This window comes from Homo sapiens, chromosome 16 (assembly GCF_000001405.40).
Source record: "Homo sapiens chromosome 16, GRCh38.p14 Primary Assembly".
NCBI classification, from domain to species: Eukaryota; Metazoa; Chordata; class Mammalia; order Primates; family Hominidae; genus Homo; species Homo sapiens.
Window position 1 is genome coordinate 48,110,322 of NC_000016.10, and position 13,872 is coordinate 48,124,193.

At 50.5% G+C, this 13,872-nt stretch overlaps 1 protein-coding gene across 9 annotated transcripts in view, besides 3 other annotated features; it reads right to left on the reverse strand.

Moving 5' to 3' along the window:
- The window catches only part of ABCC12 (ATP binding cassette subfamily C member 12), a 75,112-nt gene that overhangs the window by 29,440 nt on the left and 31,800 nt on the right, over positions 1-13,872 (reverse strand). For 4 of the 9 annotated variants that reach the window (NR_171632.1, NR_171631.1, NR_171630.1 and 1 more), the window contains exons 11-16: positions 11,395-11,519; positions 6,940-7,012; positions 5,094-5,297; positions 1,455-1,589; positions 1,266-1,341; positions 1,115-1,186 (exon numbers count right to left, since the gene is read on the reverse strand). Coding sequence is in view for 3 of the 9 variants with exons in the window: in NM_001393797.1 (NP_001380726.1) it covers positions 1,115-1,186; positions 1,257-1,341; positions 1,455-1,589; positions 5,094-5,297; positions 6,940-7,012; positions 11,395-11,519 (694 nt within the window). In the remaining 6 variants the exon portion in view is untranslated. Of the gene's footprint in view, positions 1-1,114; positions 1,187-1,256; positions 1,342-1,454; positions 1,590-5,093; positions 5,298-6,939; positions 7,013-10,917; positions 11,520-13,872 lie in introns of those variants that run through there. The other 5 variants (NM_001393797.1, NM_033226.3, NR_171628.1 and 2 more) reach the window with 4 other exon arrangements.
- Positions 6,624-7,486: an enhancer, noted in NCBI's record as "H3K4me1 hESC enhancer chr16:48150856-48151718 (GRCh37/hg19 assembly coordinates)". NCBI's record gives its function as "activates a minimal SCP1, AML or CMV promoter by ChIP-STARR-seq in primed H9 embryonic stem cells {active_cell/tissue: H9 hESC(primed)}" and the evidence as "EXISTENCE:reporter gene assay evidence [ECO:0000049][PMID:30033119]".
- Positions 12,660-13,859: an enhancer, noted in NCBI's record as "P300/CBP strongly-dependent group 1 enhancer chr16:48156892-48158091 (GRCh37/hg19 assembly coordinates)". NCBI's record gives its function as "activates an origin of replication core promoter dependent on BRD2, BRD4, P300/CBP, MED14 and CDK7 cofactors, with strong dependence on P300/CBP, by STARR-seq in HCT116 cells {active_cell/tissue: HCT116}" and the evidence as "EXISTENCE:reporter gene assay evidence [ECO:0000049][PMID:35650434]".
- Positions 13,066-13,185: an enhancer, noted in NCBI's record as "active region_10790". NCBI's record gives its function as "activates an Ori minimal core promoter by ATAC-STARR-seq in GM12878 lymphoblastoid cells {active_cell/tissue: GM12878}" and the evidence as "EXISTENCE:reporter gene assay evidence [ECO:0000049][PMID:35858748]".

Consider the following 13,872-nt stretch of genomic DNA (forward strand, 5'->3'; position numbering starts at 1 on the left):
TTCTTTCCAAGTGGTAGGTAAAATGGTGGTAGCCTTTAAAAATGGATGGCATCTTAAATTTGATGAAATGTGCGAAGTTTTTTTTTTGGCTATGCATTATTGAGGAACAGAATAACTTGGAAAGCCACCTTGCTGTGTATACTTTGAGGACTATTGACCTCAGTCCTCTCTGTGTCCAGCATGGGGCAAGGGGCAGAGTAGGTGCTCTAGGGATGTGGAGTGAATGAAGGCAGGGTGTCTATGGAGGAGAAGAGGTGGCCTGACCAGGTAGCCCCCACCAGGCTCATCTTCCACATCTCGTCTCCCCACCTCCCTGGAATCTCCTCCTACCCTCAACCTCAAGCCCTCTACCCTCTCCCACCTTCTCACCACAGTGTCCCCAGCAAACTCCTATACAACCTTGAGGGACCAGTCCGAAGGCCACCCCCTCTGTGAAGGCCTCCCTGACATGTTTGTTTCTCTCACCCAAATTCCCCATTACTCTTACTGGTTTCCCATAGTTACCCATCTGCCTGAGTCCCCTCCAGACCACAAGATCCTGAGAACACGGGCATCTCTTCTTACTCTCCTCAGCCCAGTTTAGTACTACTAGGCACACAGTCAATGCTTAACCTTTATTTGTTGAAAGAATAATAACCTTATCCCACCTCAATCCCTTCACTGCTTCATAATCCGTTCTCAATGCTCCCCATAAAGAGTGGGAAGCTCCGTGTCTGCCTTTGCCTCTAACGAATCCCCATGCAGTACTTTGATCTCTCCAGCTCATAATAACTATTGAGCATCACTGTGTGTCAGGCAGTGTGCGAATCATTTTATGTTCATTTTCTCATTTAATCTTTACAAGAAATTGTGGTTGGTACTACTTCCTCATTTTATAGATTAGGAGGCTAAGGTTCAGAGTGGCCAAGTATCTTGCTCAAGGTCACAAAACTAGTAAGTGGTGGAGCCAAAATTTGGACTTAGGCAGTGGAACCCCAAGGCACACAGTACCCTAGACCATCCAATTCTGGCTGCCCAAAATGACATGCACAGTGTCTACACTGTCTGTATCCCAAACGGTAGATGCCCAATACATCCTTAAGTGTATGTGACTGAGGGGATGTGTGGTAAATACCTTTTGTGTCTACAAATTCTGAGCCTGTTTCAGATTCTTTTCCTTCATCTTTCTCATTTCCTGGAGCCAAAACTAGGGTGAGAAATAAAGAGAGATCTGTGTCCATTCAAGCCAAGGACAATAACAGGGATGGGATTCTAACCGATTATACCAGCATCTTCCTCTCTCTCAGCAGGGCTCTCCTTGAAGGCTTCCACCATTGCTGCATTGTAAAGGTGTTCAGGATCCTGGAGACAAAATGAAATTCCTTCTGAATGCTAAGTGACAGGACCTCTCCCAGGCACGAAATCCTGAGGGATTCCGCCCCAATTGTTCCCACACCTGCCCAGGTGTGAGTTACCTTGAACTGCAATCCTCGCAGGTTGTGAATCAGTTTTGCATAGCGCCCTCTCTCCTCCATTAACTCCTTGTGGGTTCCCTTTTCACAAATCTCTCCATCTTCTAATAAAATAACTTCATCACAAGACTCTAAGAACTGCAGAAGTAAGTGATCGACAATGAACTTCTGCCTGGAAAGGAGAGCCCATGCCAAACTCCTCTCCAACCTTAGTTACCACTGTTGACTTTAGGGGCCAGATCATTCTTTGTTTGAGGGGGCTGTCCTGTGCATTGTAGGATATTTACCACCCTCCCTGGCCTCTACCCCACTAGATGTCGGTAGCACCCCCTCCTGGAGGTGTGACAAGCAATGATGTCTCCAGACATTGCCAAGTGCCTCCTGGGGGCAGATTGGCCCCCAGCACAGAACCATTCATCTAGTACCCACAGGTCTCATGAGTCCAAAAAAAAGCCAGCCTTTGGCTCTCACAGTAAAGAACACTGAATCTTCCTTTGCTACTGCTCCTTAAATGAGCTGCCTTCCTAAGAAATCTGATCATGGCCAGGCGCAGTGGCTCACACCTGTAGTCCCGGCACTTTGGGAGGCTGAAGCGGGTGGATCACCTAAGGTCAGGAGTTCGAGACCCACCTGGCCAACATGGTGAAACCCCATCTCTACTAAAAATACAAAAAGTAGCTGGGTATGGTGGCGTGCACCTATAATCCAGCTACTCAGGAGGTTGAGGCAGGAGAATCGCTTGAACTCAGGAGGTGGAGGTTGCAGTGAGCCAAGAAGGTGCCACTGCACTCCAGCCTGGATGACAGAGCAAGACTCTGTCTCAAAAAAATTAAATAAATAAATCGAAATCTGATCATGGAGATTTGGAAAATAAAACTGACAGTCACAGCAGCCAGGACTTGGTAGGGAGGGGAAATATGATCTTCACGAAGGTCCTCCTGTGTTCTAAAATTACAAGCCTCCCTCATCATCCCCATTTAGCCCAGGAGAAGCAGACCACGGTGTGGTCTCCAGGCAAGAGGCCACATTCCCTGGCCTGAGGAATTTATGCCAGCTTTATCTATGAGATAAAAACACAGCTACATTTAATGCTGGCATCCCACATTTTGCCCAAAGCACTTCTGTTTTTTTTAATTTGAATTCCCTTCATTTCCATATCATTCCTGAGATCAAAGAGTTCTGCTAAGAGGGTTTTCCTTTCATTTTGGAATGAGACACAGAGCTCTCCCCCCAGGATCAAGGAAGCTCCCTCCTAGAGGTGGGCAAGATGCTGAGACTAAAGATGGTTTGACCGAAAGAAGCCTTTGCAGTATGGGCCAGAGGTCTTCCCTGATACTGCACGGTTCATCCAAGGTCAAATCAACCTCTGCTGCTCTTGATTACAAGCCTGAAAGAAGTAGCTGTGTTCGGTCATTGTACACTTGATTGGGCGAGTTGGGAGGGTGCCCAAAGGCTGAATGATAACAGTTCTAACAGCTTGGACAGCTCCAGCCCTCATGCCTCCCTCCCACTAACTGCCCAGCTCCCTGTCTTATCAGCTGATTTTTCAGATGGGGAAACTGAGACACCATAAGCCTGTTCCAGTCCCATAGCCACAGCACACGCTCCAGCTCCAGGAGCTCCCGGGGAAGCCCCCTCTGGTCAGCAAGCCCCCAGTTCACTCCAGAGATATGAGGCAGATTTGAGCAGCTTTGTTCTGCAAGCCGTCACCAAATCTGCACCTGGGTTGGATTTCAGTGGTTTCCTTAGAAGAGCGATCATCCACCCCAACCACTAAGATGCTTGCCTGTGGGCCTGGGAGTAAGAGCAGAGGGGATAGGCTCTGGAAAAGCCCCGGGCCGCAGTTCTGGGGCTCTAAGTTCCATTCTCCCTGACAAGGCACAGCAGGACCAAGATCTTGTGCCACCTGGTGGCTACCTGCCTCTTCCAACTTGCAAAAAGTTGGATAAAATGACACGGGAAGGTGGAATCTAAGGAGATGGACCTGGTGTGAAGATGGCTCCTGCCTGAGGTCATACTGCGGCTCAGTCAGTTTCAAAGACCGAACCAGGACCAAGGTTATGATTCCCCTCATGAGGACTCCTGGAGGGACAGCCATGACCCACATCTGTCAGGGATGAGGCATCCCCCTCCAGATCCCCAGAGCCCTTGGAGGACAGCCCTCCCTGCTGCAGGGTGTCTCCAGGGATATTCCAGGTGCAGAGCTAGGGCTGCCAGGTTTAGCATCCAGACTGGGCCAGAGCCCATTCTGTCACCTCATGAGGGTCTTGAAGAAATCCAACCTTGTCCTCCATCCTAACTCAGAAGAAGAACTAGGCCAGAAGAAGAACTAGGAGCTCTTGCCCACACCAGCCCAGCATGATGCTTCCTGGAGGTGCTCAGGCCCACTCAGAGGAAATCCAGACAATCCCCATGCGCAAAATTCGGATGCCTGGAGCTTATTCCGGGACCAGAACTCTAGCCCTGGGCAAAGGTGAGCTCAGGCTAGGGGCAGCATCACAGCAATGGGAAAGCTTGGTTTTACAGGGTCTTCGAGGAACACCCTCTTTAGGCTGGTCCTCCTGGCCACTACTGGAGGGTCCTAAAATGCTGGCTGCAGCATCCTATAGCCATGGCAACTTTATTTGCTGCTATTGCCCCTCCCTCTCCACCCCAGCTTGACTTACCTTTGCAAAGACCTGCTTCCTGCCCCCAGACCAGGCCCTTATGTAACATGTTCTCTGCAGGTAGCAGGAGAGTAAAGAAGACGGGACACTTGCTCTCCTGCTCCAATAGGCCTTTCAACATAAGTCAATCCCAAGGAATCTCTCGTCGGGCAAGGAGACACCCACGTGCACGCATGAACACACACGTGCACACACATGCACTGCCCCCCCTTCCCCCACACATCTCTGGGGATTCCCTACAAAGAAGAGAGAGGGAGATGGTCTGGAAGCAGGGAAACCTGGCCTGGGAGGAGGAGGTTCTTGGATTCCCATCAGGCAATCAGGACGCCTTATGTGAGACCAATGCAGTGAGGGCTGTTCCCACTCTGCCAAATTCTTAAATTCACTGAGGTCAAGCCCAGTCGCTTTCTTCAGTGAGATTCATGCTCCTTAGCCTGAGACAGTGGCCCTGAGCAGAGAGAGCTTCCCCAAAGCCTCAGCCTTAGTCCCAAAGTCCTGGCTTCAAGCCCCTTTCCCCTGGGGTGTGATACCTGGGGCATCTGGGCCCCTCATCCAAGAGGTCTACCACCCCCTGACACCCCCAGTCAAGGTATCCCTGGCCTCAGGCTTGCCCAGAATTGCTGGAGTAAGGGTGGGGCCGTCATTGTTTTCCCTGGCTCCCCATCTTACCAGGCGCCCAGAACTTGGGGAAGGGTGCCCCAATCCACCCACAGGCAGGACTCAATTGCTTCTAGAGAATCTACCCTCTGGTGCAGGAAAAGTCTTGGCCCCACTGAGGCCATGCATGGAGTGGAAGAGGTGGGCCTCCTGGGAGCCAGGAAGGCTGGGGAATCATGAGTGTCTCTTGCATCCCTGGCTCCCTCCCCACATTCCCAGCTGAAGACAGGCAGATATAGGCAGAAGAGGAGGCTCTGTGAGCATCAGATCCCCAGCCACACCCATCCCGTGACCTCCTGGATCCTGCATGTCCCATCACCTGTAGCTGGTGGGTCACCAGGACGACTGTCTTTCCCCTGAGCGTCTTCTTAATGCACTCCTCAAAGACGTGCTTCCCCACGTGGGCGTCCACGGCCGACAGGGGGTCGTCCAGCAGGTAGAGCTGACGGTCGGAGTAGACAGCGCGGGCCAGGCTAATCCTCTGCCTCTGCCCCCCAGAGAGGTTGAGGCCCCGCTCCCCAATCTGTGGACAGGGACAATGCTACTGCCCATTGTCAGCCCACCCTGAAGTTCTTGGGCAATGGAAGCTTCCTGGAGCTTCTCAGGACTCAGGGGAAAGACGTACACACTGATCCTCGCCATATCCAAGTTCCTCCGCCCCTTACAGGGCCCCCGGTCACACGAGACTCTGTGGTGAGTGGAAGTGCTCCACTTGTCTACCTCTCCAGGAAGCCCAGTGGGCAGCGGCAACGAGGGCAAAGCTCTTTCCCATGAGGATTGAGGGGTGCCCATCTCACAAGACCCCAGCCCAATGCAGATCCCACAGGGAGGGGCTACGTCATTTTTATCACCAAAGGGAATTGTGTGAGCAGAGAGCTGGGGAGAATGCAGCAGTGAACCAGAGGGAAACGTGGCTGGGTGCAGATGGAAAAGCGAGTTCCCTATTTTGTTTACTTGTAGAGCAACTATCCCATCCCTAGGCAACTCTAAGCACTGTGGAGAGATAAGCCTTGACTTCCTGGTTCATCATCACCACCCTAAGGCCTGGCACCATGCTGGGCACAGAATAGGTGCTCAGTAAATATTTATGGAAAGGATGATTGCTTGCTGTAGGTGATTCTATCCAATGGAACCCAAAGTGAACCCCAGGTGTTCAGCCAGATGTTGAGTTAGGCACGGGGCGGGACACACAAGCTGGACAAGAGAAGTCCCCTCTCCCTGGGGAGCTCCACGGTGGGCAGGGTAGTTATGTACATAATAGCAGCAGCAAGCAGAATTTCACAAGCGCCTGCTGAAGAGCATCAGTAGAGTACTTTGTGGCAAATTATTCAGGTGGTGGGACTTGGGAAAGCCTTCCTTGAGGAGGCAGATTTTGGGTTGAAACTCAAAGGATAGTGATGTCACAGGAGCAGAGACTTAGAGGCTAGGAAGTGAGTGGACACTTTGGCAGGCAGGTAGGAGCATGGCCTGGAAGGGTGAACCAGGGCTGCAGTGTGGGAGGTCTCAGATGCAGGCCAGGAAGGCTTCACGGCCACTTCCTTGGGGATGCAGACTGAGGGCACCAGTAGAGAAAGACACCCCAAACTGCCTTTCCTCAGAAAGCTTTAGCCTTCTGATCTCCTCTGGGGCTCCTGGGCAAGGTGAGGAAGATTGTGCAGAGAGCACAAGAAGGGTGGGGACCCGAGATGGCAAGGTGACTCCCCTGGGTCTCTTGGGGTGGCAGGCTCAGCCCAGGATGGGGTGGCAGGCTCAGCCCGTTTGGACAAGCACCCCAGGGGGCAATGTTTAGAGGTGACCCCCATACTCCTGGCCTGGGCAGAGCCAGTGAGGCAAGAAGGGGCCCTGGTTTGCAGGACAGAGCCAGCCCTTGGGATGAGGAAGCAGTTTTCACCAGAAACCCTTCCTGAGACGACAGGCAGATTGGGAGTAGCCCCAAGAAGTGACTACACTGTGCCAAACACCAGTAAGCTTGGTGCCACGTCCACTATGACATCCAGCAAGTATAGATCCAGAGGAAGAATTCAGAATGGGTGGAACCTGAGCTTTGCCCACACGTCCTTGGGGCATCTGGATGTGGAACAGGGGCTTGCTGGCCTCAGCCCTTTGGACCTGAGCAAATGTACTGTGTGCAGCTACAGTGGGCTTGCGCTCCCAGCCCCGCTCACCTCAGTCAGGTCTCCATAGGGGAGGTTGCTCAGGTCCTTCTGGAGGCCACAGACGCGGACTGTGTGCTGATACCTGTTGGTGCAAAGCTCAGAAGTAGCTGGGTGAGAAAGACCCCAAGCACTGCTGCCCTGGGCTGCTTCCACAGGCGCTGCTGGTGTTGCTGGGGCAAGGCCAGGGGTGGCGGCTGCTATGTCCAAGGCTCCCTGGCCAGTCGCTCTGCCTTCAATGACCCAAGGGTAGCGTCCCAGTGACCACTGGCCCCTCCCCTGACCTGATGCAGAGTTGATTCAGGAATGGCCCCTTCCCTGGCAGGGTTTTCGCCAAGCAGGGAAGAAGACAACGCTGAACAGGAAAGCCCTGCAGGAAACACTGAGGGCGCCACCTGCTGGACGCTCATGGGAGTCAGAGGAGGGGTCACCCTTGGGGGCTGCAGTTACTGGGGATGGCCTCCTGGGGGTCACAGGGCTGAAGCAGGACCGTGGGTGGAAGAGAGGGTGTGTGTGAAGGAGGCTAACAGCAGGGGGCTGGGTGATCACCAGTGACGACCTTGACATTTGCCCAGCCCCTCCACAAAGCTACTCCATCCACCCCTCACTGCTAGTAGGTTGGAGAGAATGGAGTTTTCTCCCCTGCAACAACTCGGGATACTGAGTCGAAGGGAATGGCACCTGAGGTGAGGGGGCGGAATGGGAGAGAGAGTGGGACTCCTGCTCTTTGGGCCTCTTGGCCTCTCCACTGTGCCCCCTCAGCGTCACGCTCTGCCTAGCCCTGCAGCCCAGGCTTTGGGGAGTTTGACAGCCGAGGCCCTAGCCAGCTCTGCGGCAGCCAAGCCGCCAGGACTAGCGCCCTATCCTGCAAAAAGCAGCAAAGCTGTGGGGTCAGCCCCACAGCGGTCCCCAGGGGCATGACCCCGCTCTGCCCCAGGGGAGGCCTTTGGGGCCTTCTGGCACCGAGGAACCTAGGAACGTCCGTGGTCACTGGGATGTCGTCCCCATGTTATGACAGATGCCCACACCCTCCTCCCTCGGTTTTCTCTGCAACTCAACCTCACTCATACAGCCCCCACCATAAGCAGAACCTTCCCCAGGCATCACAGAGCCCCCGCACAGCCGCCTTGGGGACCCAACTCCTGCTCAGGATGCCTGCAGTGCCTGGCTCAGGTTTGTGCTCCCTCCCAGCAGCTGCTGAGCAGCACCACTGGGCCTTTAGGTTTCTGTCCTGCTCAGCAGGTTGCCTGCCTCCACAGTGGCTGATTGGTTGGTTGATGACAGAATTGATTGATTGATATCATTGGCATTATCGTCATCAGGACCCTCTTTCCTTCAGCGAGTAACAATGGGCAGGCCTCACAACTCAGACATCAAAAGACAGACCTTCCCAATAAAGAGGCAAGAAAGAGAGTGGCAGGCATGAGCAGCTGCCCTTCCGGTTGCACACAGGCCCCAAAACAGAACCTGGGCACAGCCCAAGCATCATGCCCACACACAAACTTTGGGGTTGGTGTACATAGCAGTTATGATGAGGGGCCTTGGAATCAGAGAATGGTTTGAATCCAGCTGGGCGACCTTGGACAAGTGACTGTACCTCCCTGATCCTCACTCTCTGCTCTATAAAATTGTGCAAACAACTAATTCTCATTGGGTTGTTGTGAGAATGGAGCAGAAAAACATGTGAAGCCATTAGCACAGTGTCTGCTGCATGGCAAATTCTCCATCAGTGGGGGCTATAATTGCTATTACTACATTTGCCAATCTGACTCAGACTGCGCAGCACATCTTCCTCCCCTCAACACCTCCCACCTTCAATTTCCTCCCACCCTCCTGCTTCCTATGGCCCTGAGAGCCACAGTTTCTGCCCTAGGAGCAAAATCTCTGCTAAATATGCCACATATGAAGGATGCTAGATCCATCTTTCAAAGCCCAATTCAAGTGCCATCTTCTCTTCCCTGATCCACCATCCTCTCGTGATCTCTGCTGCCTTGGAACAATCCGAGCACGGTCTACTGCCACCTGGCTCATTCCTCCCTGGTGCACTGTCATTTCTGTGCATTTCTTATAGCCCATTCCAGACTTGAGCATCTTAAGGGCAAAGATACACCTGAGCCATCTCTTTCCCCATGTGCCCTGCATGCTGCAGGCATTTGGCACATATTTGCCCTCTGAACATCATTTTGATGAATAAGGCAACCCTCTGTCCAGTCCGCATCCACAGACAGAGAAGGCATTCCAGGTGGGTGGCACAGGCCAAGAGATGCTGAGCAGAGTAATTTGGCTATACTGATCACTGACTCCTGCACTGATCACCTTCCTGCCACACCTGAGCCTCCTGGCCACAGGACGGCATGGCCGGGGAAGAGGAGGTGAATTGACAAGCCTCTTGATGAGAACATACATGCTGCCATACCAGCCAGCAGGGACAGAGTTGGTGGGTAAGATGAGAAAGGCCAAACTACCACTGGAGAGCTGACAGCCAGATTCCTAAAACCAACTCCAGTTCTCTTAATTAAGCATTGTGATGCCTGGGAAGGTTTCTGAGTGACCCAGCTGTCAGGCACCTCCAGCTCCAGAAAACTGATGTTGATCTGGAGCTCAACGTCTAAGTCCAAGACTCAACTCTGACATTTAATAGCATTTAATACCTTGGGAGGGTCAACTCGCCTCTCTAGGCCCTTTTATTTATCTGTAAAATGGGGATATAATGCCACAATCTCTCTAAATGGGTGGTTAAGGGACTCAAATGAGAGAATGTACGTGGCAATACACCAAGCTAAGCAAAGAACCATAGGAAGCCATTACTTTCCAGAGCTTAAAGATGATGGTCCAATCAATGGTGAATTGGATAAAGAAAATGTGGTATATATACACCATAGAATACTATGCAGCCGTAAAAAAGAACAAAATCATGTAGCAACATGAGGCAGCTGGACTTCATTATCTTAAGTAAATTCACACAGAAACAGAAAACCAAATATCACATGTTCTCATTTATACATGGGAGCTAAACCTTGGGTATGCACAGACATAAAGATGGCAACAAGAGGCAGTGGGAATTCCAAAAGGATGGAGGATGAGAGGGCGCACGGATGAACAGCTTCCTATTGGGTACTATGTCCAACAGAGAGTGAACAGGATCAGTAGAAACCCAAACCTCAGCATCACACTATATACCCCTGTAACAAAACTGTACCCCCTGAATCTAATGTTAAAATTAAAATTTAGAAAACTCAAACATTTCAGAAGTAGGGAGAGAATAACTATAGAAATGTCCACGGTGATCACGGTATTAATGAGTTTTTTGTTTTTTTTTTTTTTTGAGAAGGAGTCTCGCTCTTTTGCCCAGGCTGGAGTGCAGTGGCATGATCTCGGCTCACTGCAACCTCCACCTCCCGGGTTCAAGCAATTCTCCTGCCTCAGCCTCCTGAGTAGCTGGGATTACAGGTGCCCACCACCACGCCCAGCTAATTTTTGTATTTTTAGTAGAGACAGGGTTTCACCATGTTGGTCAGGCTGGTCTCAAACCCCTGACCTCATGATCCACCTGCCTCGGACTCCCAAAGTTCTGGGATTACAGGCGTGAGCCACTGCGCCCAGCTAATGGGTTATTAAATGTTCTTAGAGAAAATATTTCTCCCCAAATTGCTGTCTGTTCATTACATACTACAGTTATTACAAATACATACTCGCAATTTTCGTGTTGAAAACATTTACAATATACTATTTCAGTACTTTTGAAATATATAATACATTAAAATTTATCATTGTCACCATTCTGTGCAATAGATCACTAACGCCTATTTCTCCTGTCTAATTGAAACTTTGTACCCTTTGGTCAACATCTATCCTTTCCCCACACTCCCCTCTCCCCCAGCGTCATATATCAAAACACAAAAGTGTACCCCATAGATAAATGTAATTATGTCCATTTAAAAAATAAAATGATATAAAAAAGATGATGGCTCAAAGTAAATCAAGTAATTATAAGTTGAGCTTTGTTTTTATTTAGTTAGACCATTCTGAGGACACTAACAGTGATAATATATCCTGATAGCTCTGATGTCAATTAATAATGTCAGGGCTGATTCATTACATACTTGCTCATGATTCTGAGCAGTTTTGGGTACTCAGCCTAAAGCAAAATTGCTGGATTCACTTTTCTCTAGTCAGACCACATATGCCCTGTTGCAGAGAACCTCGGAACATATGCTCCTCTGCCCTGGGAATGAAGTGCCGATTCTATCCTCTTCCCAGTGTGCAGTCGCAGGTCTGCAGAAGTCGCCTCTCCTGAACGCTTGGCTCAGGAAGAGGAAAACCAGTGTCTGTGTGGATCTGATGAATGTTTAATCAGAATTCATTAAACTCAGAACCCACTTAGCAGTCATTACCAACAGCATCAGCATCTGTAGGAGAGTGTGTACCAAACACAAATGTGCCTCCTGCTTTAAAAGTTAATATTACCTTTGGTGATCATACTTTTCTCCAAAGAGTATGTTTTCTCTCACATTTCCATGAAAGATCCATGCCTGCTGTGAAACGTAGGCCAAAGTTCCATTGACTGCCACCACCCCTTTCTGCAGCTGCATCTGGAACAACAAGACGGGAGAAGCTTCAGGAGCCAAGCCTTGAGAACTTTTCCTCAAATGCCCATTGCACCCTGGCACCCACATATTCCACAAGCATTGGTTATGAAGGCACAAAAGCGTTGACAGGACATCTTGTCCATGCACCAGAAAGCCCAACCATGCAGATGCAGAATCTCAGAGTCAAACACCTGCACAGGGCCAGGCAGGGAATGCTTGAAAAGAGGCAGTGGTAAGCTCTGCTACAAATGGGAGAGCTTGGACTGCAGGGCTGCTCCCAGTGCACATGGCACCTGGGCCCAACTACAACAGGATGTTCTCTGAACAGACTCTTCACAAGAGGCTCCCCTTCCTCCAGGTGCACTGGCTGGATCCAACCCTGCTCAGCCAGGCCCTGGGAGCAGGGCACCACCTGCACGGCTGTGGGTGTTGGCCTTGGCACACCCCATCTTCAGGAAGCAGCCTTGACTCAGTTGCATCTTTGGTGCCATGCAAGGATGCAGGCCTGATGGAGCAGGATTTTCTAATTTGTCCAGAGGAGTCAAAGATCCAGTTTTATATGACATCTTTGGACTTTTAAAGCATTCAGCAATCAATTAAAACTATGCATGGGCTCCAGTTTGTGACCCTGAGTACATATGTTCATTTAAGATGACCCCTCATCGTGGGCATCCAATAGACAATGGTAGACAGCGGGGATGCAACGTTCAAAGTTATCAACAGAGGGTACATGTGGGGCAGGCCACAGTGCTCAGGGCTGATGCTCACGGGGCAGTGGCAGTGGGTCCAGGGGCAAAGAAGGAGAGTCACCAAGGCGGCCGAAGGATGTGATGCCACTTCACCTCAGGAGTTGTGCAATGGACAGAGAATTCAATTTGGAGAAGAGACCATGATAATAACAATAATAATTGTAGTATTTTTAATGTGTAGGGTATATTCCGTGAACTGAATTAAATGTATGTTCAATGTTTTTCACCATGACTGGCCTTGCAAATTATCCTATAGCCAACTATTGCTTACATGATCTCATTCAAACCTCACCACAACTCTCCTTAGTCCCATTTTACAGACAAGGAAACCAAGTGGTTTCATGAGGCTCAGAGAGGTTAAGTTACCTGCCCAAGGCTAAATAGTGAGCATGTGGCAGAAACAGCTGGGGAACCCAGGCTGTCCAGAGTGCCCCCCTGCTTCCCCAGTGACCACAGCCAGGGGCCTGATCCCACCACTGTCTCATGGGAGATAGACTTAATGTTATCTCAAAATTTCCAAAGGACAGAAATTAAAAGGAGGCAAATTTCACTCCAATATACATCAAAACTCTCCAAAGAAGGAACTGGCTGTGACATGATGAGCTTCCCATCACTGGAGCTATCCGAGCAGTTGGGCCATCTCTTATGCAGTAGGATGCTATTAAGAGTATTCACATCATTATGTGGGGAATTGAGCTGAGTCACCTCTATGGCTCACGCTGACTCATCATGGAGGCACACACTCTCAGAGCGTGGGTGACCTCAGGAACTCATCCAATTCAGCCCCCACCTCCACCTCCAGGCAGGGAAGGAGTTGTCATTCTTTCTATAGATGAGTCAACTGAGGCCAAAAGAAGTCACTCATATTAAAACTCATAAGACACATCCCCCCACCACCCTATTCTGGAGTCCCCACTTCTTCAGAAGTACCCCGACCTCTTCCTGAAAGAGGCAATCCCAGCTGCACAAACTTCTCTTTAGCAACAGCAGAGTGGGGAGAAAGAGGACTTAGCATTTTTTTTCCACAAAGCTTCTCATTCATGTGGGATGTGACTTAGAAACCGTGGCAACATAGAGGTTTGTGAAAACTACAAATGGCTTAGCCATTTTCCCTGGGGTCACCCAACTAGAAGGAGCAGGGAAGGGACAATGACCCAAGTCCCCTCCCTCTTCCTACCCCAAGGTTTGCAGAGAAGGTGGGGGCATGAGCTGCTTTAGTTCAGGCATAAAATACATCTATAGTCACCATGAGCTCCAGACTCCAAAGTCCTTCCACACCAAGCTGCCTTGCTGGCATTTCTAAATCAGGGCAGCCCAACTCATGGGGATAACCATGGGTTTAAGGACCCATCTCTCCTTTGACCAAGATGGAGCTTTAGGCAAGGAGGCAATGCCATTCAATAGACCTCCTCATTGGCAAACTCAAGAGTTTGTGAAAAACTCAGCCTCATCTGGCCCAGGGGCCTGGAGCTGCTGCGTGCATTAACCTCCCAAAAATTATTGTGAACCACATGCACAGTGTCCAGTGCAGCCGAGGCCATCTGCTGGGTCCACGCCTGACCGGAAGGGAGCCATTTCATTGTCATGTTAATGTTCCATCTTCACAG